The 26758-nt window shown below is 55.8% G+C and overlaps 2 protein-coding genes across 6 annotated transcripts in view, besides 16 other annotated features; one reads left to right on the top strand and one right to left on the bottom strand.

Annotated features, from left to right (window-relative positions):
* The window catches only part of CFAP99 (cilia and flagella associated protein 99), a 44048-nt gene extending 43653 nt beyond the window's left edge, over positions 1-395 (bottom strand). For both annotated transcript variants that reach the window (NM_001193282.4, XM_047415685.1), the window contains exon 1: positions 257-395. The gene's annotated coding sequence lies outside the window, so the exon portion shown is untranslated. The remainder of the gene's footprint in view (positions 1-256) is intronic.
* Positions 181-230: a silencer, noted in NCBI's record as "silent region_15168". NCBI's record gives its function as "represses an Ori minimal core promoter by ATAC-STARR-seq in GM12878 lymphoblastoid cells {active_cell/tissue: GM12878}" and the evidence as "EXISTENCE:reporter gene assay evidence [ECO:0000049][PMID:35858748]".
* Positions 471-700: a silencer, noted in NCBI's record as "silent region_15167". NCBI's record gives its function as "represses an Ori minimal core promoter by ATAC-STARR-seq in GM12878 lymphoblastoid cells {active_cell/tissue: GM12878}" and the evidence as "EXISTENCE:reporter gene assay evidence [ECO:0000049][PMID:35858748]".
* Positions 705-26758, top strand: part of ZFYVE28 (zinc finger FYVE-type containing 28) — a 149049-nt gene continuing 122995 nt past the window's right edge. For all 4 annotated transcript variants that reach the window (NM_001172656.2, NM_020972.3, NM_001172658.3 and 1 more), the window contains exon 1: positions 705-1065. In NM_001172656.2, the coding sequence (NP_001166127.1) occupies positions 1027-1065 (39 nt within the window). In that variant the 5' untranslated portion in view covers positions 705-1026. The remainder of the gene's footprint in view (positions 1066-26758) is intronic.
* Positions 821-980: a silencer, noted in NCBI's record as "silent region_15166". NCBI's record gives its function as "represses an Ori minimal core promoter by ATAC-STARR-seq in GM12878 lymphoblastoid cells {active_cell/tissue: GM12878}" and the evidence as "EXISTENCE:reporter gene assay evidence [ECO:0000049][PMID:35858748]".
* Positions 1986-2544: an enhancer, noted in NCBI's record as "H3K4me1 hESC enhancer chr4:2418533-2419091 (GRCh37/hg19 assembly coordinates)". NCBI's record gives its function as "activates a minimal SCP1, AML or CMV promoter by ChIP-STARR-seq in naive H9 embryonic stem cells {active_cell/tissue: H9 hESC(naive)}" and the evidence as "EXISTENCE:reporter gene assay evidence [ECO:0000049][PMID:30033119]".
* Positions 2545-3103: an enhancer, noted in NCBI's record as "H3K4me1 hESC enhancer chr4:2417974-2418532 (GRCh37/hg19 assembly coordinates)". NCBI's record gives its function as "activates a minimal SCP1, AML or CMV promoter by ChIP-STARR-seq in naive H9 embryonic stem cells {active_cell/tissue: H9 hESC(naive)}" and the evidence as "EXISTENCE:reporter gene assay evidence [ECO:0000049][PMID:30033119]".
* Positions 5538-5787: an enhancer, noted in NCBI's record as "active region_21173". NCBI's record gives its function as "activates an Ori minimal core promoter by ATAC-STARR-seq in GM12878 lymphoblastoid cells {active_cell/tissue: GM12878}" and the evidence as "EXISTENCE:reporter gene assay evidence [ECO:0000049][PMID:35858748]".
* Positions 6780-7300: an enhancer, noted in NCBI's record as "H3K4me1 hESC enhancer chr4:2413777-2414297 (GRCh37/hg19 assembly coordinates)". NCBI's record gives its function as "activates a minimal SCP1, AML or CMV promoter by ChIP-STARR-seq in naive H9 embryonic stem cells {active_cell/tissue: H9 hESC(naive)}" and the evidence as "EXISTENCE:reporter gene assay evidence [ECO:0000049][PMID:30033119]".
* Positions 7301-7821: an enhancer, noted in NCBI's record as "H3K4me1 hESC enhancer chr4:2413256-2413776 (GRCh37/hg19 assembly coordinates)". NCBI's record gives its function as "activates a minimal SCP1, AML or CMV promoter by ChIP-STARR-seq in primed H9 embryonic stem cells {active_cell/tissue: H9 hESC(primed)}" and the evidence as "EXISTENCE:reporter gene assay evidence [ECO:0000049][PMID:30033119]".
* Positions 10621-10680: an enhancer, noted in NCBI's record as "active region_21172". NCBI's record gives its function as "activates an Ori minimal core promoter by ATAC-STARR-seq in GM12878 lymphoblastoid cells {active_cell/tissue: GM12878}" and the evidence as "EXISTENCE:reporter gene assay evidence [ECO:0000049][PMID:35858748]".
* Positions 10759-11264: an enhancer, noted in NCBI's record as "H3K4me1 hESC enhancer chr4:2409813-2410318 (GRCh37/hg19 assembly coordinates)". NCBI's record gives its function as "activates a minimal SCP1, AML or CMV promoter by ChIP-STARR-seq in primed H9 embryonic stem cells {active_cell/tissue: H9 hESC(primed)}" and the evidence as "EXISTENCE:reporter gene assay evidence [ECO:0000049][PMID:30033119]".
* Positions 17133-17804: an enhancer, noted in NCBI's record as "H3K27ac-H3K4me1 hESC enhancer chr4:2403273-2403944 (GRCh37/hg19 assembly coordinates)". NCBI's record gives its function as "activates a minimal SCP1, AML or CMV promoter by ChIP-STARR-seq in naive and primed H9 embryonic stem cells {active_cell/tissue: H9 hESC(naive and primed)}" and the evidence as "EXISTENCE:reporter gene assay evidence [ECO:0000049][PMID:30033119]".
* Positions 17925-17984: an enhancer, noted in NCBI's record as "active region_21171". NCBI's record gives its function as "activates an Ori minimal core promoter by ATAC-STARR-seq in GM12878 lymphoblastoid cells {active_cell/tissue: GM12878}" and the evidence as "EXISTENCE:reporter gene assay evidence [ECO:0000049][PMID:35858748]".
* Positions 25440-25489: an enhancer, noted in NCBI's record as "active region_21170". NCBI's record gives its function as "activates an Ori minimal core promoter by ATAC-STARR-seq in GM12878 lymphoblastoid cells {active_cell/tissue: GM12878}" and the evidence as "EXISTENCE:reporter gene assay evidence [ECO:0000049][PMID:35858748]".
* Positions 25574-25744: a silencer, noted in NCBI's record as "fragment chr4:2395333-2395503 (GRCh37/hg19 assembly coordinates)". NCBI's record gives its function as "represses an EF-1alpha promoter that drives an FKBP-Casp9 reporter gene in an ReSE screen in K562 erythroleukemia cells {active_cell/tissue: K562}" and the evidence as "EXISTENCE:reporter gene assay evidence [ECO:0000049][PMID:32094911]".
* Positions 25574-25749: a biological region, named in NCBI's record as "ReSE screen-validated silencer GRCh37_chr4:2395333-2395503".
* Positions 25660-25749: an enhancer, noted in NCBI's record as "active region_21169". NCBI's record gives its function as "activates an Ori minimal core promoter by ATAC-STARR-seq in GM12878 lymphoblastoid cells {active_cell/tissue: GM12878}" and the evidence as "EXISTENCE:reporter gene assay evidence [ECO:0000049][PMID:35858748]".

Here is a 26758-nt window from a genome sequence, read left to right as displayed (position 1 = left end):
GGTGAGCGTTTTAAGGTACAAATTAGGGCACCACTGGGGGGAGTAGCGAGGGCGGAAGAGTATCTTTTTAGAACGCACCGCTGATAGTGGTGATTTAAAAAAAAAAAAAGAGGCACCGTTCACTTTCATCGGGGAGCTGGGAAGAAGACAGAAGAGGTGTTTGGGAGAAGCAAGATGAGCAGCGAGCGAGAGGGAACCGGCCGGCAGGTCATGAAAATCGGCGGCGCGTCGCCCCGCACCTGTCCCGCCCCCGTACCTGGCGGGCGCTCGGGGCAGCCGAGCCCTCCTGCCGCCGCCACCTGCCACCGCAGCAGTTTCCTGGGCCAGCTGGGGCTAAGGTGTTGGCAGTCGTCGTCCGTCAGCTCCCGGTAGGCAGGACGCCGCGGCTGTTTGGCGTCGTCACCTAGCAACCGGCGGCACGCTCCGCCGCCATCGGGTGGACTACAACTCCCACAATACACAGCGCCGCGGCGCGGCCCGGGACGCCAAGCCCTGGGCGCCACCTCCCCGCCATGCCTTTCGGGACTTGTAGTTTCTTGGATACCCGGGCGCGGCGGGTCGCCCCGCCGGCAGGGAGCGCGCCTCGGGCGGGGTGCGGCGCCCGCGCAGGGATTGGGCCGCCTCCGCCCCGCCCGCCCCGCCCGCAGCGCGCGGTGGGCCCGGGGCTCGCGGCGCCCTAGGCGCATGTGCGGCGCGGGGCGGCCGTGACCAGCGGAGCGCTGGGTGTCAGTGAGCAGCGAGGAGCCGCGCGCCCCCGTGCCCGCGTCTGTCCGTGCGCCCGAGCGCCCACTCCCGGGTCTGAGGTCTGCCCGGCGCGCCGCTTGCAGAGCATACTCAGGGCCGCGCACCTGCCCCGCGCACCTGCCCGCCGCCCGCTCGGCGCTCCGGGCTTCGCTAGCCAGCCTCCCTGCGACAGCGCGGGGGCTCCGGCCGTGCCTCCGCGTCCGCCCCGCGCCTCAGCCGGGCCCGGGCGCAGCGCTGCGGAGGGCGAGGGCCGCCCGGAGTCCGGCCAGGGCCGGCGCGGCGATGATGAACAGGTTCCGAAAGTGGCTCTACAAACCCAAGGTGAGCGGCCCCGCTCGGGCCGGACGCCCCCCGCGTCGCGGCCTCTCCCTTCCCCAGGACCGCCCGTCCGCCCTACAAGACGGACTCCCTTTCCCTGTCCGTGGCCGGCCTCTTCCCCCACCGCCGACATCCTTCCCTCCACTCCAAGACTTGGACAGATCTTCATCGCCCTGTCTCTGAGGCGGATCCGAACCTCCCTCCCGGCTTCCTAAGCCCGGGTCCAGGACTGACCCTCCTGCTCCTCCTCTCGGGCCGGGGCGCACTTTCCCTCCCCCTCTATCCAGGGCCACAACGGGCCCCTCTCCCTCCTCATCCCGGTCCTGGACGGTGCCCTCCTACACTTCGTGGTCCCCAGCCCGCGGGCCCGGAGCAGACCCCCTACTACTTCTCCGTCTCCCCTCCCTGCACCAGGAATGCCCCCTCATTCCCGTCCTGCCCCCACCCCCATTGTCCTGGGCCCGGAATAGATCTCCCTCCGCACTCCAGAACAGACCCTCTCCCCACTTCCCCAGGTTCTGAGAGAACCCACATTTCCCAATCCCTGGGTCCAGGGCAGACCCGTCCTTCCATGTCCAGAGAGGATCCTGATGGCCCTGCCAACGGCCTCCCTTCCCGAACCAGGACTGACCCACACCTCGGCCCAGTTCGCGTCCCCTCCCTTGTCCCTATCCTTGTCCCTTCCCCACCCACGTCCTCTGGAATCCGGGACAGGTCCTCCGCCCGGCCCTTGGGGCGAGCGCGCCCGTGGCCAGCAGCCTCGGCGGGGCGGGAGGTGCGGCTCTCCAGCCGGCGCCCGCGCCTCTCCTAGCGCCGCGGGGTCGGGGTCCGGGCGGCGCGCCCCGTGCCTCAGCGGCTGCGCCAGTCGCACTGCGGGCGCTGCGTCCCCGCCGCCCGCCTGGGGCTCGTGCCCGCTGCAGCCGGAGCAGGGCCGGGCGCGCTCGGCGCGGGATGAAGGCGCGGCGGTGTTCAGGATCCCGGCGCAGGGTCCAGGGCGCATCTGGGCGTCCGAGGGTGGCACCCTGGGGCCGGCGCAGCGGGGAGGCCCGGGCCCTGAGATCTTGGGGGAGGTCACGGCTCGGGTGGGGTCACCGCGGCGACCAAGGGCGGGAGTGGGGCCAGCGCTTCGTCCGGGCAGCTCGGACGTCCGAGGCCACCGCGTTGCCGACCTACCCCTCCTCCCTCCACTGGCCGCCTTTCTCCGTCCAGCGTCCCAGGCCTCCGCCTCCACCGTGGGTGAGCTGTCACGGCAGAGGTTTCCTGAAATCCGTGCCTCGCGTGCGCCCATTCCAGGAAGGCGGGAGGTGGGTTTGGAAGATCGGCACGGAGGTTTGAGGGCTCACTCAGGGCCCCGAAGGGCGCGTGCTTCACGGCCTTTGAGGTCGGGGAATTCTGTTTGTCGTTGCCGGAGTGTTGGGTTGAGGGCTTACGGTACATGGGGCGCCCCTTGCTCGGCCTTGGCTTGATTGGGAGGGGACTCGGGGGGATTCAGGGTTCCTGTGGCGTCACTCCCTGCTCCCAACCTCCCTGTCCCTAGCAGCGACTTCTTAAGGGTTCGTCCCGAGCCTTGCGTTTCCTGGCGCTGGGTGTGGTTTGGGGCCGAGCCGTCTGCGCCCAGCCTCTCCTCCTGCGGCGCCTTCGAGCCCCTCTCGGTCCTGCCTGCTGCCCCCATGTGCCTCTGCCGGGGTAGGGCGGTGGCCTCCGCTCTGGATAGCTGTATGAATGGTGTTTGGTTCCAGTGACTTTTCCTCACCAGTTACTGAAAACCAAGTCTGCTTGTAAAACGGCGTTTTGGGGGCGTGCAGCAGCATTATTTTCTGTGACAAATGGCGGGAGGCAGCTGGAGAAATGTGTCTTAGGTCTTAACTAACATTCTGGTGTCGCTGAAGGCACTTGCTGGGACACTAGGGGATGCCCCTCCGGACGTGGCTGTGGAAGAGGCCGCATTTGGGGGATCACCCTTCTAATCGTGTTGAAAAGGAAGGAAAAATAATTGTAGACTCTGTTTCATGAGTAGCTGAGTAATTTCAGGATGGCCTTGTCTGTTTCCGTTTAGGGAAGACAGGTTAAAGGTAGAACATGGTACTAGACGTTGTCCTGAGAATTAGGAATTGCGTTCCCAACTTTTCCTCTTCAGCAGGCAGCTGCCTTTCCAGGCAGGCGGCGGGCACCAAGAGGGCACAGCCAGTGAATCAGCTGATCCCAGGGATCAGCCCAGAGCTGTGTGCCTCCGGAGAAGGGATGGAACAGGATTGATGTGGATCTCTCCTTTTTCTCGTTGTCTTCTCCTGGCATGCTGTCTGGTAGTAGCTCCAGAGCTCTGGACTTGAGACGTATCTCCATTTCAGATCTGTCTCTGGCCATAGCATTTTTCTGGGAGCTGGTGCCCTGTGGGCAGTCTGAACTTGGGCTGTCTCTTATTTGAGAAATGTCTTTGGAGTTAAATATCTTGATTGTTTGAAGGGTCGGAGTATGTTATGTCACTCCATAGCTTTTCATTTTTCAAACCAAAGCTCAGATTCTTGCCTTGGATTATGAATTGAATTTTATGCTTCCCCTTCCTGTCTAATTTAACACATTTTGGCACAAATAAGCACAAAGTCAGTCCTGGGAAGATTCTGGGCCTGGAAGAGTTGAAGTGTTAAACATTAGCTGTGGGAGGATGTGTCTGGGGGAGACTGTTGCCTGCAGTCAGGAATTTTTTTCCCACTTTGTATTTAGATAGATGTACAATTCAAACTGAATTTTTAATTGAATTCCTGCTTTGGTTTAAAACTGCACAGCGAGCTTCTTTTTATAAATTTTTAAGTGTGTGTGTGTGTGTGTGTGTGTGTGTAGAGACAGGGTCTCACTATGTTGCCCCGGCTGGACTCAAATTCCTGGCCTCAAGCAATCCTCCTGCCTCAGCCTCCCGAAGCACTGGGATTACAGGTGTGAGCCACTGTGCTTGGCCAGCACTGAGCTTCTTGTTCATCACAATATGGTGGAAAATATTCTGAAATGAAAATATTATTCACTGTTCTTATAGTTATAAAAAGCAATTGGAAATGCTGAAAAATATTCCTGTGTGACATACATTTTGATATCTGAATAAAAATTAGCTACTACGTTAGCTACCTAAGTTGAGTAAAAGAATGCCTGATGAATAATACAAAAGTTTAACATTAAAATGACATTTGCAAATTATATTTCTATTCACTTTCTTAATCAGTCTTTTAAACACCAATATGATTTTTCTTGGTATAAAGTGTTCAGATCTTGTAAGTATTATCCTGACTTTGAACACTCCCAGGAAGAGACGGTGCAGGAAAACCTGTCAGCTTGTCCTGCTTTATTGATGTTGGTGAAATACTTTCTTGCCTTTCTTTAAAGTCTTTTCAAGAGAGTTTATGCTTTAGAAAGGCAAACCATTTTGGCATGGTTGGTGTCTTCATCTGAAACAAAAGTCTCAGTGCTGTGTTTCTTGCTTGGTTATGACTTTCTATTGATTGACCTGGCTGGAAGTTCCTGGTCACTAGGAGGTGAGAATTCCCGGCATGGGGGAGAGGGACCTGGACACTTACCTGGACCTGGGAGAGATTTCCTGGCCATCACCAAAGAGCATATTAATATCACTCAGGATGAATTTGTGTTTTCCATCTTTGAGGAGGAATTGACCCTCAGTGGGTTATGCTGGCTGGGTGGATGGGGTAGTTCCCATGTGGCTGGTTACCATGCTCAACCTTGCACTCCGAGAAGAGCTCGCTTGTCTGCACCCCCAGACCGTTTTCAGAGTGGGGGCTATTAACCTTTCTTGTCCCCCCGCTTTGTAGGAGAACATTCCTTATAAATCTGCCTTACTGAGTGATGTGTATTTGGCAACTTCCTGTAAACATTCCAGGCCCAGATTAGCGATGACATGGCCTTTGCCAAGAGAAGCCTGAGTGACTTGCTGGGTGTGTGTGCTTTATGAAAGAAGACCCCTTTGGGTTTGGTAAAGTCTGCCTGGGTGCCAACCCCACTGGCATGTTTTGTGGGAACCTGCCAGGACTGAGCAGTACTGAGTATGGGACTTCCTGCCCTTCGGCTCTTGTTAACCCAGCCTCAGTCACCTGAGGGTTTTCGGGGTTCCAGCCCACTTGGTCATGGGCCCTTGAAGAGAGCTGCCCATTGGTGGCCAGCACTCTGTACCTTGGCCACCTGGTTGAGAGGGGCGGCACCCTGGAAACGAAGTGGCAGATGGGGGCGGGCCCCAGAGTGGGGGGTGGGGCAAGGTCTGGATATATCTGTTTGGTCCCGAAGTGCAGAGATGAGGCGCAGCCCAGTCCTCCTTTTGGGGCTCCCCACTGGTGGCTGAGGGTGAGGGGCGATGACAGAGATCCCCCAGAAGTATACAGCTGGGGCTTGGAAGGCTGTGGGAGGGGTCTTGGTGGACACTGGGGCCTGGCACGAGTGGGGCCTATGAGAGGGCAGTCACTGGCATGTGCCTTGACTTCCCTGCTTTGCGTCACCTGGGAAACGAATGGCTGTCCCTACAGCACTGCGTCCATGCCCCATGCCAAGCACAGACCCTGTTCCAGGGACTTGGGATTTGAGTGATAACTTCTAGCCAGGCTACTGATGAATTCGTTTTCAGCTGATAAACTCCAAGTGCCCAGCTGTGGCAGGGGGTTGTCCTTGGCCTGGCACGTTTCTCTCTGAGGTGAGCTGCTGGAAAGCCAGTGTTCCGGATGCTGCACAGGCTGAGCCCGGCGGTGCTCCCTCTCCTGGCGGGCGCCTGGCACGGAGGGGGCTCAGGAAGTCCTGGGAGGACGCTTGGCAGTGCTGAGTCAGAGCAGGCGTGGCTGGCCCTGCGCACCGGTCTCTCTCAGCTGTGTGTGGTTCTCTGAATTCAGAAGGCTCTGGGGCTCCCCCGGCGGCTCTGCATCCAGGTCATGCCACCCCTCCCAGAAAGCCTTCCTTTTTCCACATCAGCACTCAGGCTGTGGTCAGCGGGAGTGCAGTGCGGACGCCTGAGAGCCCATGTGCTCTTGAGGTGGCTTTGTAGAACCTACTCCCTGGCCTCTTAGGAAGTGACTCTCAGCGGGCAGCTCACGTCTCATTTCCTGCGCTTTGCTGAGGTTTCTGTTTGTGGTTGGGGGAGTGTGGGACCTCACATGCCTTGCCTTGTGCCAGCGGCATTTGCAGGGCAATTAAGAGCCTGGGCTGCAGACAGAGGGCGAGCATCACTCCCTGCGCCGACTCTGTCATCACTCAGGGCTCTCCTTCCCTGGCAGGGCAGGGCTGGGCGCTTACTGGAAACGTCTGGTATGGTTTCTGTTAAATGGGCGAGTCAGAGGCAGAGAGTCGAGAGCTTCACGTAATTGATATTTGGACTCAGCAGGCAGGGCAGACGGGGGAGGGAAGCAGGGCCTCAGTGTCCTGCCCCACAGGCTGAGTGTCTTTAGGTCATTTTGTTCGACCTTAAGAGGAGAGATGGCTAATTTAAGGCGGCTTCAGTGGCCATTTTCAGCCACCAAGAATTCCCAGAATACCGGATGTGCTTGCTCTAAATGTGTGAAGGTGCACATCTGAGAGCTGGTAAGTGACAGCCAGGGTGTGGTTTTGTTTGAGTTGACAGCCTTGTGCAGCTACAGGGTGTGCCGGGTGCAAAGGTGAATAATGGTGAGCTGATTCCAATTTGAAGAAAAATAAATGCTGAGAAGGCTGTGGGTTTCAGTGCTTCCCCAGTGTTTTCTTGTCTTCAGTGGTTGCCGGTCATGTGTCTAAATAGCATTGGAGCTCCAGGGCCTGGCTGGGAATTCTCGTCCCTCCCACACCTGTGCCTCAGTTTCCCTAGTGTCAGGTGGGGATGCTGAGACCTGCCTTCTGGAATTGTTGGGAGCATGTGAGGAGATCATCTCTGTCCAAGACTCACAGTAACAGCTCAACCAATGACCCCAGTCAATAATGGCAGAACCAGTGGGTGGTGTAAGCAGGCGGGGACTTCCACAGAACCAACGTTTAGCTACCTTAGGGTTTCATGTCAGTGTTTCTTGGAGTCTCAGAGGCCATCACAGCTTCCAGTTCCTCCAGCCAGGCCATTCTGAGAGTGAAAGCGTCTCAGTGGGGGCCTGCCACCCCTGTGCCTTTTTCTGGTAGGTGGCGGGTACTTGGTTGCTGGGAACAGACCCTGACTTAGTACGCCTCAGGCATCCCCGTGGATCTGGTTACAGGTCCCCCTGAGGATGAAGGATGCGCCCTGCCCCTGCCTGCGCCCCAGGGGGGAGATGCTGCCATGTGCTCACTCACCACGTGAGCACCTGCCTCCTCTATGGTTGTCAGGACCAGGGCTGACTGCAGCCGGTGTGGGCAGCAATGGGGTTCACCATGTCGGACTGGCCCCCAAACCTCTCATGCTGTCCTCCCATGGCCTGTGCCCCCCATTTGTTGTCTGGATGCCCAGGACCTAGGAGAGGACTCCAGGGCTCGGGTGGCAGCGGGGAAGGGGCTGGGGTGCACTTGTGCTGCACTGTGATGTGAGGGGATGAGCTTCTATCCGTTAAGGCACTGAGGTGTGAGGGTCATTTGTGAACGTTTAAACTATGCTGATGCACCCTGTTTTACAAATGGGGTCTCAAGACAAGTCACCTTGCTCGAACCTCTACAGCCAGGAGGAAGCAGGGCTGGGATTTACACTCCTGTCCGCGGGACCCCAGAGCTGGCACCCGTATGCGTCAGGCAAAGTCTCCTTTCCTGCAGGAAGGCACTGGACTGTCATCGGATTTTACATGAGTCCCATTTGGTGAAACGATTACTTTTGTCTTTTTTCAGTTGGATTGCAAAAAAAACTTAGATATTGATGGGCAAGTCAAGTGTTTGAAGGAGGAAGACAAAAGTGAATGGATATTTTTTGACTGATCTGAATAGATTAAGCACAAGTAGAATAGAACATTTTATGTTATGGTAATTAATGTAGAATAGTTGGATAGGATGAATGGAATGATTTTTTCCTTCTTACAGTAAGCATTTTGAAGCTCTTCCATTTCTCATTGTTTTCCTGCTGGAGGGAGGCAGGGGGTGTAGGGGACACATCAAGTGGGGGGGCCCCTCCATGGACAAGGAACATGGGTCCAAACTGCATGGCTGGCTCTCTAAGTCTCTGCCACGGGTGGGTTTTGCTCCAGCTGTGCTGCGCTTGGCTCTCCCCCACCAGAAAGGTGGTATTTTACACCGGCTTCCTGGGGAGACTGGGCTAGCACACCCAATTTAGGATAGTGTCCTTAGGGCAATGTTTTTTTCTTTGGATTTCAGTTTTTGAGAATGTTTCCAATTATTTTTAGGGATATCATGATTACAAAAAACACCTAAAAGCAGAATCAACTACTTAAATGTCAGATACATTTAAGAATTGTACACTCATGTTCATAGCAGCTTTATACATAACAGCCAAAAGGGGGAAACAACCCAAACGTCCATGGAAGGAAGAACAGATACATGTGGTCCCTCCACACCATGGCATGACATTAGCATTAGAAAGGGCGTGGTGGCTCACACCTGTAATCCCAGCACTTTGGGAGGTCGAGGCAGGCGGATCACGAGGTCAGGAGATTGAGACCATCCTGGCTAACACGGTGAAACCCCGTCTCTACTAAAAATACAGAAAATTAGCCGGGTGTGGTGGCGGGCGCCTGTAGTCCCAGCTACTCAGGAGGCTGAGGCAGGAGAATGGCGTGAACCTGGGAGGCGGAGCTTGCAGTGAGCCGAGATGGTGCCACTGCACTCCAGCCTGGGCAACAGAGCGAGACTCTATCTCAAAAAAATAAAAATAAATAAATAAATAAAGTTAAAAAAATGAAAAAAAAAAAAAAAAAAGAAAGGGAGGATGTTCTGATACAAGCCATCGCCATGAGCCTGGAATACAGGATGATAATCAAAAGAAGCCAGTCACAAAGGGCTGCGTCTTGTATGATTCCATTTCTATGAAATGTCCAGAAGAGGCAAATCCATTGAGACAGAAAGCAGATCGGCGGTTGCCAGGGGTTGGAGAGTGGAAGTGGAAATGGGGAGTGATGATTTAAAGGGCATGGGGTTTCCTTTTGGGGTGATGAAAAGGTTTTGACGCAGCAAGAGGTGGTGGTTGGGCAGCATTGTGAACGCAGTAAATGCCATTGTATTGTACCCTCTAAGATGGTTGATTGTATGTTGTGTGGATTTCACCTCAATTTAAAAAAAGGAATTGTACCACTTTTTGAGGTTAACAGATAATCAAGGGAAAAGGTGTTTTGCCCCTGAATAAAAAAAAATAGGAAAATAGGCCCAGAGCCATGGTTCCTGAGTTTGGCTTTCTGCGTAGGCAGCTGACTTGGGGGCTTTGGAAAGCACCCTGCCAGCCTGGCCCGCTGACTGTGGCCACCTGGCGGGGGCATCTTCCTGGTCTCTGAAGATGGATCCTCAAGTCCCAGCCCAGCCTCTCCTCCCACCCTGTGCTGCTGGCAGGGCCCTTGTCCTGGGGCTTCCAGAAGACAGCGTGAAGGAGTTCTGTGTCTGGGATTGATCGTGGTTGGGTAGTTCTGACAAATTTCTCAAACCGACCTCCTCCCACAGAGCTGCCCGCAGGGGTCAGCCCCCCCACCCCACCGTGGGTGTACTGGACTCAGCCTTCTCACAGCGCCGGCATGGGCTGCTCAGTGGGAATCTCCAAGGCTGTCAGGCCATGTGGGCCTTGCCTGAGCCAGGGATCGGAGGGACAGCGAGCAGCCAGCGGAGTGGGGGCGAGGGGGCTGCTGAGATGTGAGTGGCAAGGGGGTGTGGGTCGCGGAGCCTGAAAGGCTGGGTGCACTTGGAGCACAGGGGACAAGGTGGGGTCGCTGCAGATGGGGTTGGGAGGTCGCCTGGGGATGGGTCACAGGCAAGGAAGGTGGGGGCATGATGGGGTCAGCACTGCTGTTTGCGGGGTCCTTCCAGGCCTGCTGTGGGAGAGACGAGATTGGAAGCTGGGACTGGTGGGTGGCGGGGATTCCAGCGAGAGGATGGCAGCAGGCGACTCTGGATGGAGAAAGTAGATGGATCTGGGCCTGGTGGGGGTGGGACCTGGCTGGGGGAGAGGTGCTGTTTGGGGATGGGGAGCTCAGGAGAGGAGCTGCGAGGTGGAGGGTGGAGATGGGGGTGCAGAAGTAGGGGTTTGGACAGTGTGTTTGATGGCCATGCAACTCCACGGGGAATGTGAGGGTGGGGGGCCAGGGGCGTTCAGGGCTGTGTCACAGACCGCGTAAAGGCAGACCTCCCCACTGCGAGATGCCCAGGCATGTTGGATAAAATCACAAAAACATTTTTAAAAGTACTGAGCTGGCAAGAGAGAAGGTGTAACCCCTAGTGCCAGAAATAAGAGGAAACTAAAACCTAAAGCTGAGTGCATGGGAAGGTCCACTTAGAAACCGCCGGGAACTGAGAGCTTCAAACCATCACTGCTGCCCCACGTCAGGATTGGGTGGATCAGCCCGTGGGGCGGGGCTCACCTGGGCGTGGCTTCATCTAGGTGGGGCTTATATGGGCAGGACTCACAGTGTGGGGCCATCTGGATAGGGCTGCATCTGGGCGGGGTGGCATCTGGGCGGGGCTTCATCATCTAGGCAGGCTTACCTGGGTGGTACTCATCTGGGCGGGACTCTATCTGGATGGGGCGCCATCATCTAGGTGGGCTTACCTGGGTGGGGCTTCATCTAGATGGGGCTTACCTGGGCGGGGCCCAACTGGGCGGAGCTTCAGTTGGGAAGGGTCAGCCAGCTGAACCATCTGCGGCCTTTGGTCCACCCCGGCTGGTGCAGCTGTCAGGCAGGCCCCCTCCAGGCTTTCTCCCCGATGCTGAGTCTCAGGGCAGTGGAGCAGAGTGGCAAGGTGATCCTGAGGCCCAGCCTGGAAGTCACATGGCATCACCTCCACAGTGTCCATAGGGCCAGCCCCCATTAAATGGGGGGGGCTGTCACCTCCACTTCTCGGTGCGGGGAGTAGCAGAGTCACATCTCAAAGGGCAGGTGTGGGGATGCAGGGAAATGCTGGCTTGGTAGGATGTTCTTGGGAGCACTCACAGGGAGGCCCAGGGCATGGTGGGGTTAGGGGAGATGTGTTGGTCCAGGACTGGGTGAAGCATTGCTGTCCAGTGAGGGCAGGTTGGAGCAAGGGTCAGACAGGAATCTGTGGCCTTGAGGCCTGGAGGCCAGGGGGCCAGGAAAGCCCCATAGGCCACTTCAGCACAGGGTCACCTGGGCAGCCTGGCCGAGTGAGGTACATGGTGTTCTGGAGGAGCCCTCCTGCCACACCTCTGAAGTGGAGTTCATAGTAGAAAGTTACAAGACAGAGGAGAAAGGGGTTCTCCGTGAGCACACTCCCTGGCATGCGTAAGGTCAAACCAAGCCAAGAGACTGAGGATAGAAACCACAAGGCAGGCCAGGCACAGTGGCTCACGCCTGTAATCCCAGCACTTTGCGAAGCCGAGGCAGGTGGATCACGAGGTCAGGAGGTCAAGACCAGCCTGGCCAACATGGTGAAACCCTGTTTCTACTAAAAATACAAAATTAGCTGGGCGTGGTGGTGCGTCTGTAATCCCAGCTACTCGGGAGGCTGAGGCAGGAGAATCACTTGAATCTGGGAGGCAGAGGTTGCAGTGAGCCGAGATCGTGCCACTACACTCCAGCCTGTGCAATTGTGGGAGCTTCTGAGGCACAGAGGGATGAGAAGGTTCCAGATGTAACTCCTGGGACTTCAGGAGCGAAAACAGGGGGAGAGAGGAGGCTGTTTTCTGCTCACGGCTGAGAATCTTCCCGAGTTGAATCATCAGGTTCATAAGCCCACACCCCAGATGGGAATCAGTGGCACAGCAGGCCCCTCAGATGCTCAGAACGCAGCATCTGAGGGGCCTAAGGGGACAGGCTGCAACCTCACAGGGGCCTCTGCTGGACTGGCTGAATACTGGAGGCCTGGAGGACTGTGGAGCGAAATCTTTCTAGGGCCACAGGGAGCAAAGTCAGAGTAGAGTTCTGGGCTTAGCTAAGCTGTCGTTCGTGGAGGAGAGCAAAATGGAAGACAGTTTTAGACGAAGACAAAAAAGTAACCGCCCCCAAATCATTGCTGAAGAAGTACTGGAAAATGTACTCCAAGAGGAAAATCAAAGTCAGAAGGAAGGAGTGGGAGGCAAGGTGCAATGGTGGGGCCCAGGAGTCGGGGAGGGAGTGGGTAGATGGGAGCAGCAGTCACCTTGGGGAGCGTGAGCATCCGTGCTCCTGGCAAGGGGGAGTGGAAATTCTGGACAGCAATGCCTGGACAGCAATCAGAGCTGGCACTGAGGTCTTTGATGGTTTGCAATAAGGCTGGATTTGAGACCATGAGCTAAGTGTGTGAATTACCACAGGGTAGGCACTAGGATAACAGTCCCAGAAGAAGGGATAACTCCTAAACCAGGGGAGGGAGAAAGAGAATAAAGGAAATAATCCAATCAAAGCAGGAAAGGATGAGAAGAGGGCAGCAAAGCAAAAGCACAACAAACAAAAAGCAAAAACTAAAGCTGTAGAAATAATTGCACGTAAGTCAGGCATCACAGGGAGTGGAGCAAATCCACCTCCCAGACAGAGACTGAGAGTGCACCTGTGCGTTGAACAATCCAACCTTGTGCTGTTGACGAGAGATGTCCACGAGACAGCTTCCGCAGAAAGGCTGAAAAGAAAGGGGCAGAAAAGGTGAACCAGGCGTTTACCAAAAGCAAGGAGGTGAGGTTCTTTCTCCCTGTATCAGGTAAGCACGGCGCTCAAAGCAGAGTGACAGCATGTTTCCCCACAGGGAGGGGATGGCTTCCTGCTGCACACCATCGGCTCCCAGGCCTGGCTGCCCCACCTCTTTAATCCTGGTCTCAGTCACAGGAGCTCTCGGGCAGCCCCTTCTCAGTGTTTTGTTTTGTTTTTTTTTGAGACAGAGTCTTGTTCTGTGGCCCAGGCTGGAGTATAGTGGCACGATCTTGGCTCACTGCTACCTCTGCCTCCTGGGTTCAAGTGATTCTCCTGCCTCAGCCTCTCGAGTAGCTGGGATTACAGGTGTGCACCACCACACCCAGCTAATTTTTGTATTTTTGACAGAGATGGGGTTTCATCATGTTGGCCAGGCTGGTCTTGAATTCCTGACCTCAAGTGATTCACCTGCCTCGGCCTCCCAAAGTGCTGGGATTACAGGCATGTGCCACCATGCCCGGCTAATTTTCTTTCCTTTCTTTCTTTCTTTTTTTTTTTTTTTTTTGAGACAGAATCCATTCTGTGGCCCAGGCTGGAGTATAGCAGCGCAATCTTGGCTCACTGCAACCTCCGCCTCCCAAATTCAAGTGATCCTCCTGCCTCAGCCTCCCGAGTAGCTGGGATTACAGGCGCCTGCCACCATGCCCAGCTAATTTTTATATTTTTAGTAGAGATGGGGGTTTCACCATGTTGGCCAGGGTGGTCTCGAACTCCTGACCTCAGATGATCCCCCTGCCTTGGCCTCCCAAAGTGCTGGGATTATAGGCGTGAGCCACTGCGCCCAGCCAGTGGGCATTTTGAAACTGTTGAAAGAACCAAGAGAACCCGAGGGACAGTGACAGGAGTGCTGGCTGTCGGCCTCACCTGGCTCCTTCCTGACCACTCCAAGGGACGTGAGGTCTCAGAGACAATGGGCACGGGGGCCACTCTCCTGTGCCCCGGCCCCTTCCCTCTGACCTAGGGAAGGCTTCCTGGCCTGCAGATCTCAGAGCCTGGGCCTGCTCAAGGTTACAGCTCGGCCATGTGGCTGCCTGCAGTGGGAGCGGGGCACTGCAGGGAATGATGGGAAACTGTAAGTCTGCTCAGCGCACCCATCAGTCGACCATCAGCACAGTCGATCTGCAGCCTCCCACAGCGTCTGAAATCCAAGGAAGTCCCATTGGTCTTCTCAAATTTGGTCCAATTGGTGTGCTCCAGACACTTCTGAAAAGGCCAAGGACTGTGGGTGGTAAGGCCTGCCTCAAAGCTCACTGTGGGGAGAGAATGGAAAAGCAGGTGGCGGTGCACCCCATCTTCCCTTCGCGGTGCCGCTTGGAGTATGGGGAAGACACATGGCTTCTCTCCTGAAGGCCCCAGGCCCAGCACCGCTTTGTCCGGGCCACTCTCTGGGGGTATCTGGGGCTCACTTTGGAACTATCCAAGGATATGCCTTTGGGGACAAATTCGGCTTGTGGATGAGGTTAGTTATGGTTCATTTTTGTTGTTATATATATATTTTAATCTTTTAAGAGATTGAAGTGTGGCTGGGCATGGTGGCCTACGCCTATAATCCCAGCTACTTTGGGTGGCCAAGGGGGACGGATTGCTTGAGCCCAGGAGTTTGAAGCTGCAGTGAACTACGACTGTGCCACTGCACTCCAGCCTGGGCAAGGGTGACAGAGCAAGACCCTCTCTCAAAAAAAAAAAAAAAAAAAAGAGCGAGACTGAGAGGGTGAAATGCAGTGAATATATAGGTAACCATTGAAAGCAAACCATCAGTGATATTTCCTGTATTCGCAATGTGGTGCAGCCATTGGCTCTCTCTGATTTCAAAGCTTTTCCATCATCCCATATAAACACCCTGTTTCTATTATGTAGTCACTCTTCACTCACCCTGCCTCTGGCCCCTGGAACCTCCAGTTGGCTTTCCATCTCTGCGGATTTGCCTGTTCTGGACGTTTCGTATAAAAGGAGTCATATGCTGTGGGGCCTTTTGTGTCTGGCTTCTTCCAGTTTCATCCATGTTGTAGCATGTGTTAGCATTTCATTTTTATGGCTGAATAATATTCCATTAGTGGACAGACCACTTTTTGTTTTCCATTCACCTGCTGATGGACATTTGGGTAGTCTCCATTTTTGGCTGTCATGAATGACACTGGCATGAGCGTGTGTGTTCGAGTCTTTGTAATTTGATTCTCTTGGGGAGGTGCTTGGGTGGAATTACTGTGTAGCTCCATCTTCAGCGTTTTTTTTTTTTTTTTTTTGAGGCGGAGTCTCGCTCCGTCCTGCAGTGGCGCGATCTTGGCTCACTGCAGGCTCCGCCTCCCGGGTTCATGCCATTCTCCTGCCTCAGCCTCCTGAGTAGCTGGGACTACAGGCACCCACCACCATGCCTGGATAATTTTTTTTGTATTTTTATTAGAGACAGGGTTTCACCGTGTTAGCCAGGATGGTCTCGATCTCCTGACCTCGTGATCCGCCCGTCTCAGCCTCCCAATGTGCTGGGATTACAGGTGTGAGCCACCATGCCCGGCCCATCTTCAGCTTTGAGGAACTGCCAACTGCTTTCCCCATTGTGATTCTTTTTTTTTTTTTTTTTTTTCCGAAATGGAGTTTCGCTCTTGTCACCCAGGCTGGAGTGCAATGGCGCAATATCTGCTCGCTGCAACCTCTGCCTCTCGGTTTCAAGCTATTCTCCTGCCTTAGCCTCCTGAGTAGCTGGGACCACAGATGTGCACCACCACACCCAGCTAATTTTTTTTTGTATTTTTAGTAGAGACGGGGTTTCACCATGTTGGCCAGGCTGGTGTCGAATTCCTGACCTCAGGTGATTCACCTGCCTTGGCGTCCCAAAGTGCTGGGATTACAGGCGTGAGCCACTGCAGCTGGCTTCCACTGTGGTTCTTGACAGAGAGTGGGTCATCGGAGGCGGGGTCGGTGAGTGCTGAGAGGGGCCTGAGAGGGCATCTATGGCCCTGCTGTGTGCTATGGCTTTGAGCTGCCCCAGCCCTGGTGAGCGGAGTGCCCTGATAGGACTCCCACTTCTCCTGTGCTTGTAAATCAAGTCAAACCCCTCGAAACCACAGGCCTGGGGAGGTCTTCAGAAGTGCGCTATGTCCTCCCGCCACGATCCAGGGATGGCCAGGGCCGTGCTCCGAGAATTCTGGAAGGCTCATATTGCGTGTTGACACTCGTGTGTGTGACTGCATCTTTCTCTCAATGGAAGGTTCCACGCACTGCTTCCCACGCCCCCACTTGAGTGGCAGTGACAAGGTCCCACTAGTCCTTTGCCCATCTCAGATCCCTCTGCAGACCCGACGCTGGGGTACAGGCTTTTTCCCCTCCTGGGCTGTAGCCCTGGAAGTGTGGGGGCATCTGTGAGGAGCTGGGGCTCAGGGCAGCCCTGGTAGCTGAGGAGAAGGCAGCTGGGGCCACACAGGCTTGGGCCACAGCCCAGAGGGGTCATCAGGCGGCCACGGGGAAAGGACCTGTATTGTTCTGTGTGCCCTGCATTGTCAGAGAGGTCAGCATTGCACTTTGACTTTCCTCAAACACGGATAATGGCACGCCAGCCTCATGGAGACTCCCAAATGGGGATCCTGTTTCTGAGGGTGCTGGATGGGTGGTAGGCACGTCCTGTGAAGACCATGCTGGTGTTAGCTGACCGGGTCCTGAGCTAGGAGGAGGGGCCTTGGTGGAGGGGGCAGGCTTGGCCCTGCAGGGATGGGTCAGTGCTGCCCTGGTTTTCATGCAGTGAGAGGCTGACTGAGAGCAGAGTGAGCTTAAATTCCAGCACTGGTGTATCATTAGATGTGGGTGGGTAAATAGAGCACAAACGCACCTAAGCTTATTAGTCTGGTACAGCTGCTACGGTTTTTAATATTCCCTTCTAAGCCTTTTTCTTGGCATCTGTGTGAGTGTTGTTGTGCGACTGTCTACCGCGTTCCCTGCCCGCTCTCTGCTGTGTGGCTTCCGTGTTGTCTTCTGCCGGCCACTTCCCCGGGCTTTGTGGATCCGACTATGAAACAGTGATGCTGGCGCTGTCTTCCTCACATGCAGTCCTGGCTTGAGGATGTTCTGCTAGTTTTTGCCGCTGTTGCCTGCTCTGCTTAATACAGCTCTTGCTGACCCATCAGGACTTCTGGGGACCATAGCCAAGCAGAGGCTGCAGGACATGGCCTTCCAGCACCTTCTGCTCCTGCAGCGGGCGGGGCGGGAGATGGTGTCTGATGGCGGGGGCGGTGCCGGCTTGCCTGGCCGACTTACTGATCCAAGCCCTGGAGCAGCTGACCTTGGGAGGAGTTGGGGAGGAGGGGCCCCGCCCACCCAGCAGGGCTGTCTCCAGGTTGAAACGAGCTCCCAGCTGCAGCGCTGTCTGTGCGGTGCCTGGTGCCATGAGGGGAGCGGTGGCAGCAGAGCTCCATGCTCACTGGGGACCCAGCTGAGCAAGTCCCTCCTCCAGCGCCAGGGAGAGGATTTTAAAAGCTGCTACCACTGTCCCTCCACAGCCGGCAGGACCGGGATTTCTTCCTCTGTGTCTCTTGACAGCAGAGACTGCAGCATGACAAAGCCTCAGGGTCGTCGTGAGCTGCCCGACCCAAATCCCTCAGGCTGGCCACCACCACGCACACGGGGCTTCAGGGAGCGCTGGGAGGGCCAAGTGAACTGGTTTTGTTTGAAAGGTCTTTCTCATGAGAGGCTCGAGGAGAGGACGCAGCCCAGGTCTTGGGCCGGGACCCCCGCTACCACTGGGACCCCCGAGGGTTTTGCTGCTGATGGATGAAGAGGCTCCTGTGGAACTGTGGCCTCTGCTCTGCACCTGAGCCCCGGGGGTCATAGAGGTTCTTGGGGTGGACTGCGGTGCGGGGCGGCGAGGGGACCGCAAGGAGGCACTCCTTTTGGCTCCTGGCAACTCTGACCAAAAAGGCAGGCCCATGGAAAAGGCAGTTTTATCCTCTGAAAAACCTCTCTGTAGACACTCTCTTCCTTGGCTCAGAACTCACAGAGCCAGAAGGAGGAGGGGGAGGGCCTGGGGTGGGGCAGGTAGCACCGTCTGGTGTCAGAGTGAAAGCACCCTGTGGTTAGGACAGCTTCTGAGTGCTGCCCGGCCGGGAGGGTGTGTCCCTGCGACCCGGGCCCTGGGCCACCTACTGCACAGGCTGTGAGGGTGGGATGTGGGCACCGGGACTCCTGCCCTAGCCCCAGCCGCCTGTGTGAGATGGAGGTGGCAGTGCTTCCCTGCCCCTGTAACTGGGGCACCCCTGGGGTGGCTCTGCACAGGATGAATCGGCACCTCCCCCTTGGGCCATGTGTCGTTGCGTGTGAGCTGTGACCACTGCAAGGTGGCAGGGCCCTGCAGTGTCAGTGCCTCCACTGGCCATCCCCTTCGGGGCCCCCCTTAGTTCCATGGAGCAAATGTTTCCCCTGGGAACTGGGGAGAGGCTCGTGACGGCCCACCTGCCCAGCCTTCCTCCCTAGGTACCAGTTTCCATCCCCCACTGTGCTCACCTGGGGACATTCTCAGGGTGTGTGTGACGTCTGCCACCTCCAGTCCTTGTGGACAAAGAGAGTATAAGTCAACCACAGTCAATAGCTGAATCCTGTTGGTCTAGAATTTTTCACCCTGTGTGATGGTTAATACTGCCAACCTGATTGGATTGGAGGATACAAAGTATTGATCCTGGGTGTGTCTGTGTGCGTGCTGCCAAAGGATGTTAACATTTGAGTTAGTGGGCTGGGAAAGGCAGGCCCACCCTTAATCTGGTGGGCATAAACTAATCAGCTGCCAGCACGGCTGGAATGTAAAGCAGGCAGAAGAACGTGAAAGGGCGAGACCGGCCTAGCCTCCCAGCCTACAGCTTTCTCCTGTGCTGGATGCTTCCTGCCCTGGAACATCGGCCTCCAGGTTCTTCTGTTTGGGACTCGGCTCTCCTTGCTTCTCAGCTTGCAGACAGCTTATTGTGGGACCTTGTGATTGTGTGAGTTAATACTTAATGAACTCCCCTTTATATATATGTATCCTATTAGTTCTCCCTCTAGAGAGCCCTGACTAATATACCCAGGCAAACCGGGATGTCTGGGGGCCTCATGACACTCACTCCTGGGGTGGCTCGGGACCTGGGCTACTGTCGAATTGCGGTGGGACAGATGCCTGTATTTTAGGGGCCGAGACTGGTAATGTGTGAGGAGGTCAGTGTTGTGCGTGTGCTGTCACAGAGTTAACTTAAGGGCGTCACTTGATGAAATGTGTGTGCGTGTCATGACACAGTAACTTGATGGGCGTCATTGATGGCACTTAGTACTTCCACACATTCTGCGACGGACCAGACCAGCTATGTATAAAAGTGGGTAACCCCAAGACCTTTCATGTAGATGAATTAAGTGCGGTCAAGTAAAAAAATGTGTTCCTCCTGACCTGTGGCTCCCCGAGGCAGATTGCAGGCTCTCGATGCCACTGGAGCTCTGTGGAGGGTCAGGGTTCTGTGCCCGCCCTGAGGAGCTCCGGGGAAGGACCCTCCATGTGGAGAGGCAGCATCTGAAGCGGCCGTGGGGCTGTCCCCGCCCTGTGCGTGCTGCGTGGTGCCGGCACTTCCTCGGGCTCCCCTGTCTGAGGAGGAGGGACGTGGTGGTGCCTCTTAGTGGCCACGGTGGGCGCCCTGCCCTGTTCCTCCACCTTGTGCTGAGGAAGCTTTGACGTGGGTGACAGGGCATGCAACCCCATGTGGCCCACGTGACTGGTACGGCTCACGTCCGGCAGCGTTTGGGTCCAGATGGTGTCCCGGGCCCTGCTCCGAGCTCTGCTCCAAGTCAGGGGCCTGCACTGTTTCTTCCGCTCTGCTCTGCACTTGGGATCCGAGTATCGCCACTTGCTGGGTGGGAGGCAGGCGGCTTCTCTGTAGGCCACCTGGTGCAACGGAAGGAGGCAGTGATCCCCTCCCTGACCCTCTCAAAACGGGCACGGAGTTAAAACAGTCACGTATTCATTCAACAAACATGAACTGGGTATGTATGATGTGCCAGGCTTTGAGCTTGGGACTTGGCAGAAAACCAGATGTCAGAGGCCCCGGCCTTCCTGGGTGCTTTCTTGCGAGGGTATAGCTGGCTTGGGGACATGGTTGGGGGCAGCACGGTCAGGGGCGTGGTAGGGGAATGCTGGCATTCTCACAGTCTAGGCAAGTCACGGGCCAGCCCAGCTCCGCAAAGAGGGGCAGAGATTTCACCTTTGGACAGGAGGAGAGGCGTGAACACACAGGACTGGACAGACGGACAGGCTGTTGGTGCAGCTTTGTAGTTAGCCACACCCCTGCTGCACCCCCCAATGCAGGGCTGGATCTCAACCCCCCACATTGTGCACTGGTTATCACCCCACTCTGTGCACTGGATCTCACCTCCACCCTTGTGCCCTCGATCTCACCCCACCTTGTGCCCTGGATCTCACCACCCAGCTTGTGCCCTCCATCTTGCCCCAGCTTGTGCCCTGGATCTCACCTTCACGCTTGTGCCCTGGATCTCACCTCCACGCTTGTGCCCTGGATCTCACCCCACCTTGTGCCCTAGATCTCGCCCCTCCTTGTGCCCTCAATCTCGCCACTGACCTTGTGCACTGGATCTCACACCCCCCTTGTGCCCTCGATCTTGCCCCCGCTTGTGCCCTGGATCTCAGCTCCACACTTGTGCCCTGGATCTTGCCCCTGCCACTGACCTTGTGCACTGGATCTCATACCCCCCTTGTGCCCTCGATCTTGCCCCCGCTTGTGCCCTGGATCTCAGCTCCACACTTGTGCCCTGGATCTTGCCCCTGCCACTGACCTTGTGCACTGGATCTCATACCCCCCTTGTGCCCTCGATCTTGCCCCCGCTTGTGCCCTGGATCTCGACCCCCCATTGTGCCCTGGATCTCGCTCCTCCTCGTACCCTCGATCTCGCCCCCGCCTTGTGTGCTGGATCTTGCCCCACTCTTGTGCCCTGGATCTCGGTCTCCACCTTGTGCCCTGGATCTCGCCACACCTTGTGCTGGATCTCACCTATTTTCCTTCTCAAGAGCTTCCTGCAGTGCTCCTCTCTTGTACTGGTCTCTCCCAGTCTGTGACTCCCATATAGGTGAAAACCTGCCATGACCTCTCCTGTCTCTAAAGCAGCAACCATGTAGCAGCCCCGCTTGGCTGCCATCTCTCGAGCTGCCACTCCGTAGCTCCTGGCCCTCTTTTCAGCAGAAGTCCTTGAAGAAGCTGTCTGGGTGCCCTCATGCAAGCCCACTGCTTTGTGTTCTGGTCGCTCCCCCAAGCAGCCCACCATGACCACCCATCGGGTCACCAATGGCCTCCCGTGTCGGTGCCCTGCACCCTGGCACGGGCACTGGCCTTCCCCACCCATGCGGCCTCCTGTGGAGCCAGGCCATCCACTGGCACCAGCTCTAGGTCCCTTGCCCTTGGTGCCTCACACTTGTATCTCCAGCCGGGACCTCTGCCCTGACGCTGCACTTGTTGGGACAGCTGCCTCCTTATTGTCTCCATGTGGACGTCTGCCAGGACCCCCCCTCCCATCTCACCTGCCCCCACCCCGCCCCCTCCATTCTCCTCCATCTCTGTTTCTATGGGTGCCTGGGCCTCACACCTGGAAACCCGCCTCAGCTCTCCTCCTAGTTTCTCACTGCACATCCTTCCGCACATCCTGTAGGCGTGGCCTCCAAAGTGTCTCCAGGAGCACATGTGTGTTTGCAGCAATGTCATTCCGAATAGCCACATGTCCATCAGTGGGTGAATAAATAAACAAGATGTGGTGTGTTCATGCGGTGGAATATTATTCAGCCTTAAAAAGGAAGGACATTCCGACACATACTACGGCATGGATGACCCGTGAGGACACTCTGCTGAAAAAGACTAAATCACAAAAGGACTAATATTGTCTGATTCCACCGACGTGAGGTCCCTAGAGGCATGATGTTCATAGATATGGAAAGTAGTCTGGTGGGGGCCAGGGGAGGGGAGCGGGCGTGAGTGTTTAATGGGGACAGAGTTTGGGAAGGTGAGAAAGTTGTGGAGAAGGGATGGTGGTGATGGTTGCACAGCAATGTGAATAAATTTTTTTTTTTTTTTTTTTTTTGAGACCGAGTCTGGCCCCCAGGCTGGAGTGCAGTGGTGCACTCTCAGCTCACTGCAAGCTCCACCTCCTGGGTTCAAGCGATTCTCCTGCCTCAGCCTCCTGAGTAGCTGAGATTACAGGCACGTGCCGCCACGTAAGGCTAATTTTTTGTATTTTTAGTAGAGATGGGGTTTCACCATGTTGGCCAGGCTGGTCTTGAACTCCTGACCTGACCTCAGGTGATCCACCCACCTTGGCCTCCCAAAGTGCTAGGATTATAGGCGTGAGCCACTGTGCCCAGCCCAGCAATAACATTTAATGCCGCTGAGTTGTACACTCATAAAAGGTTAAAAGGTCGATTTTGTGTTATGTTTACATCACTGCAATTTACCATAACAAATAATAGAAAAATGTTTGCAGGAGGTGACCCCTTCTGATGCCTCCCTGATCCCCGGCCGTGGCAGTCGCCCCTGAGCCGGAGTCCTTCCTTCTGCCCTGGCTCCTGTCCTGCCCCACCCGGCTGTTCTCGGCACAGCAGCCAGAGTGATCGTTGAAGCACACAATTCAATTCGGGTCATGACTCGCTGCTCAGGACCCCCCAGTGACTCCGTGTCAGTCGGAGTTAAGCCCCTTCAGGGTCAGGTACCCTCCCCCAGCTGTCCGCCCTCCATTTCAGCCACCCGGGGCTCCTTGCGGCTTCCCAGACACCCCGCCTTGGGTCCCCTCTGCAGGATGGCTGGTCCCATCAGCTCAGACACCCCGCCTTGTGGCCCCTCTGCAGGATGGCTGGTCCCATCAGCTCAGACACCCCGCCTTGTGGCCCCTCTGCAGGATGGCTGGTCCCATCAGCTCAGACACCCCCGCCTTGTGTCCCCTCTGCAGGATGGCTGGTCCCATCAGCTCAGACACCCCGCCTTGTGGCCCCTCTGCAGGATGGCTGGTCCCATCAGCTCAGACACCCCGCCTTATGGCCCCTCTGCAGGATGGCTGGTCCCATCAGCTCAGACACCCCCACCTTGTGTCCCCTCTGCAGGATGGCCCGTCCCATCAGCTCAGACACCCCGCCTTGTGTCCCCTCTGCAGGATGGCTGGTCCCATCAGCTCAGACACCCCGCCTTATGGCCCCTCTGCAGGATGGCTGGTCCCATCAGCTCAGACACCCCCACCTTGTGTCCCCTCTGCAGGATGGCTGGTCCCATCAGCTCAGACACCCCGCCTTGTGGCCCCTCTGCAGGATGGCTGGTCCCATCAGCTCAGACACCCCGCCTTGTGGCCCCTCTGCAGGATGGCTGGTCCCATCAGCTCAGACACCCCCACCTTGTGTCCCCTCTGCAGGATGGCTGGTCCCATCAGCTCAGACACCCCGCCTTGTGGCCCCTCTGCAGGATGGCTGGTCCCATCAGCTCAGACACCCCCGCCTTGGGTCCCCTCTGCAGGATAGCTTGTCCCATCAGCTCCCCTTAAATCCTGATTTAGCAGAGACTCACCCAGTGGGTCTCACCCGGGCTGAATTGGACCCCCAGGGGACACAGGCAATGTCATGTAGTGTGGGGGGTGCTGCTAGCCATCCCACAATGCACAGGAGAGCCCCTGACAAGGAACCCCCTGGCGCCAAGTGTCAGCAGTGCCTTGGGTGAGAAAGAGCCCAGCCCTAATCTGGAGTCCCGCCGCCTCCTGTGAGCCTCCCTCCTGCTATCTTGGACCGTTATCTGGGTGTGGTGGTAGCACCGCGGTCAAAGGCTGTCCCTGGCGTGTTGGGTCCGGCCACCTCTTCTGGCCTGGCGTTCCTGGTGACCTTGGTGGAGAAGAGCTGGGAGTGGGGAAGGAATCTCAGGAAAGCCCTGTTTCCTGCTCCCAGGTTGAAAATTCCAGGCCAGTGCTATGGGATGTCACCAAGGGAGCTTTGGGGACTCTGGTTCATGACTGGTGTGCATTGCACCTGAGTGTGACAGCCAGGCTGTGCTGAGCAGGGGCCGGAGTCCCCACCCCTCACACTGTTCCAGCTCCCACGACCTGGACCTGGTGCCTGTGTGTGGGGAGAGCGTTGGGATCCCCCTGGGGCTTATGAAGGGGCCTAATTGGATGGAGCAGTGCTGTCTGCGCGAAAGCAAAGGCTTCACCTTGCATGCTCGCCTGCTCTTGGATGAGAAACAGTGTAGTTAAGTATGTTAGGGATTATGAAATGTTAGGTAGCATGTCTGAATTCCTCTCTTATTAGTCGAGTAAAGAAAACATAGAACTTGAGTTCAGTGCCTTCCTGAGGCTCAGTGCCCTCACTGTCTGCTCTGCAGAAGGAACCGAGATGGGGGAGGCCCCAGTAGGGTACGACTGGCGTGGCAGTGATGGGGAGCTGCCAGGATCGGACACCAGTGACCTTGGCAATTCAAACTGAGGAGAGGATGGCCAGTTATCTTATTGGGTACGATTTTCAGTCTTGAAGAAAAGGGGTTTCACTGTAGGCCACCTTACTACACCCTGTGCCATTTCATTTCATCTCCTGGAAAGAAGACAGAAGCTTCTCCTGGCTTAATGTGGTGGGACTTTTAATGGGAAGTGAGAGAGCATCATTAGGGCTGGCCTTACCCTTTGCAGGGAAGAGATTGAATGATAGTCCCTTGAATTTGCGAGGCACCTGCCCTGTGCCACCCACTGTGCTGGGTGCTGGCATCTGCCGCTGGCACCAGGGTTGCTGCAAGGACGAGGACGCCTCTGACCGCCGACAGTGTAATGGAAGCACGCACACGTGCAGTCAGGCATCGATGCAGCTGCGCAGAGTGGTGCCTGTTCACAGGATCGGATCGCAGACCTGTGTGACACGACACCCAGGCCCCTGCCTGTGACCGAGCAGCCCGAGCAGCTGGAAGCATGTGCCTTGTTAGAAAGGAGGCGTTGATGTTTTAGGACCTTATGTGCACACAGCTGGAGCCATCATAACTTGTGGTTCATGACCCTTCTCATGCGGTCAACCACCCCGTGAAGAGAAACGCAGCCAGCCTAGGGGTCCAGGAACTGTAACTCAAGTCCATGGTGAGAGAGCCCCTTTGCCAGTCAGCTGGCAACGTGAAGGAGCCCTCCAGGTCCAGGCATTGGAGCAGGTGTGGCCGTGGGATCGCATACGTGGCTGCTGGGGTGGGTGACCCAGCTGTGCCACCTGCGGCAGGCAGAATGATGGCCCCCAAAGGTGTCCATGTGTGAATCCCTGGAACCCATGAATCTATGAGGTGTGTGGCAAAGGGGAAGTAAAGGTTAAAGATGGAACTACGCCTGCTCGTCAGTTGACCTTCCGATCATGAAATTTTCCTGGATTATGTCGGTGGCCCCAGTGGAACCACAGGAGTCCTCAGTAGTGGAGAAGGGGGCAGGAGAGTCAGAGGAGCTGGGCCTGGGAAGAAGGCTGTAGACGTGCAATGCCGCTGGCTCTGAAGGTCCGGGAGGCGGCCGTGCGTCGGGAAGTAGCTGTGCAAGCTGGAAAAGGGAAGGAAACAGACTCTTCCCTGGAGCCTCCAGAAGGCACGCGGTCCTGCTGACACCTGCTTCTAGTCCAGAGAGACCCAGGCTGGAATTCTGTCCTCCAGAACTGTAAGATGTGAATGTTGTCATCTTAAGCCGTGGAGTTTGTAGTGATTTGTTGCAGCAGCCACAGGAACTAGCACACGCCTCCTGGGGACACGCACAGCCAGCTTTGCTCACAACAGTAAAGCCCGGAAGTCCGTCCCCCAATCCGCAGGTGTGGCCGAGTGAACTGGGGGTGTCCAGTTACGGGAGGAGGGGCAGCGGCAAGGGGCCGGCGGGAGTCTCAGCAGCTTAATGTGGAGTGAAAAAAGCCAGTCTCGAAATATTGCATATGCATGATGTCCTTTTTATAGAGTCAAAAACAACCAAAAATACACTTCAGGGCTACATGTGGCTGCCACCTAGCTTTTGGAAGGGGCCGTGAGAGCCAGGCTCAGGGACTGTGGGAGGTGTGCAAGCGGCCGAGGGGCAGGCAGGGGTGGTTATGGCAGGTCCCACCTGCATGGTAGGTGGTGAGCTTCCAGGGACTCATGGCATGAGCAAAAATAACTAGCACACCCTTTAACTTTTTTGCATAGTTGGGAATTAGCTGTCTCCACACCTGTGTGGCCTGCCTTCCAAGGAATTCCCAGCCCAGGAGTTTTAAATTAGTGCTGCCTGTGGCATTATGTTTCAGGTATTGGAATTACTCTGTGTTTGACAAGGGGAAGGCAGGTGTTCTGTGTCTAGAAAAGGAAAAGGTGAATGGAGTGATCTTTTATGCAGCGGATGCGGTGAGATTTCAGGTGCCACCAGCAACCTGCATTCCACGGGCCGAGGAGCTGTGGGGGTCTCCTCTGGGGCTCTGCAGATGAGATGGGATTGACTGGCCATGATCAATATGACAGCGTCCTCAAAGGAGGGGCAGACGCAGCCTGCGGCCCTTTCACGGGGAGCTTTGTGAATCCAATTCCTTCCAAGACAGGAGCAAAAGATCCTATTTATTTGCCTGAATCTGGAAAGAGATAAAAGCTTTTTTCTTTTCTTGTAATTCCAGCCAGGGTCGATTCTACATGGACATATTTTTCTGCATTTTTGTAAATTCCTTACAGCTGAGGTGTGTGAAGTGCGATTCTCATTAAACTCACAGGGCCAAAGCTGAGCCTCTCGACTGATGCCACTTTAAATATTGGGTATGGGAAGAGCTGGGAGGTGGGAGTTTGACAGAAGAATGAAGAGAACGTAATGTTTCCTTTGATAACTTTTCCTTGGAGTTACATGAAGAATTGGGTGACAGTAAGAAAGGATATAAACAATTCATTGTAAGCTGCAAAATTTAGTTGTATTTAAATAATTTAATATGATTTAAGAGTCACTAGGATGCAGTGGGATGGTCCTATTATCGACCC

The sequence above is a fragment of the Homo sapiens genome, chromosome 4, assembly GCF_000001405.40.
Source record: "Homo sapiens chromosome 4, GRCh38.p14 Primary Assembly".
Lineage (NCBI taxonomy): Eukaryota > Metazoa > Chordata > Mammalia > Primates > Hominidae > Homo > Homo sapiens.
Note: the sequence above shows the minus strand (reverse complement) of the source record. Positions and strands in the feature narration are given on the sequence as shown.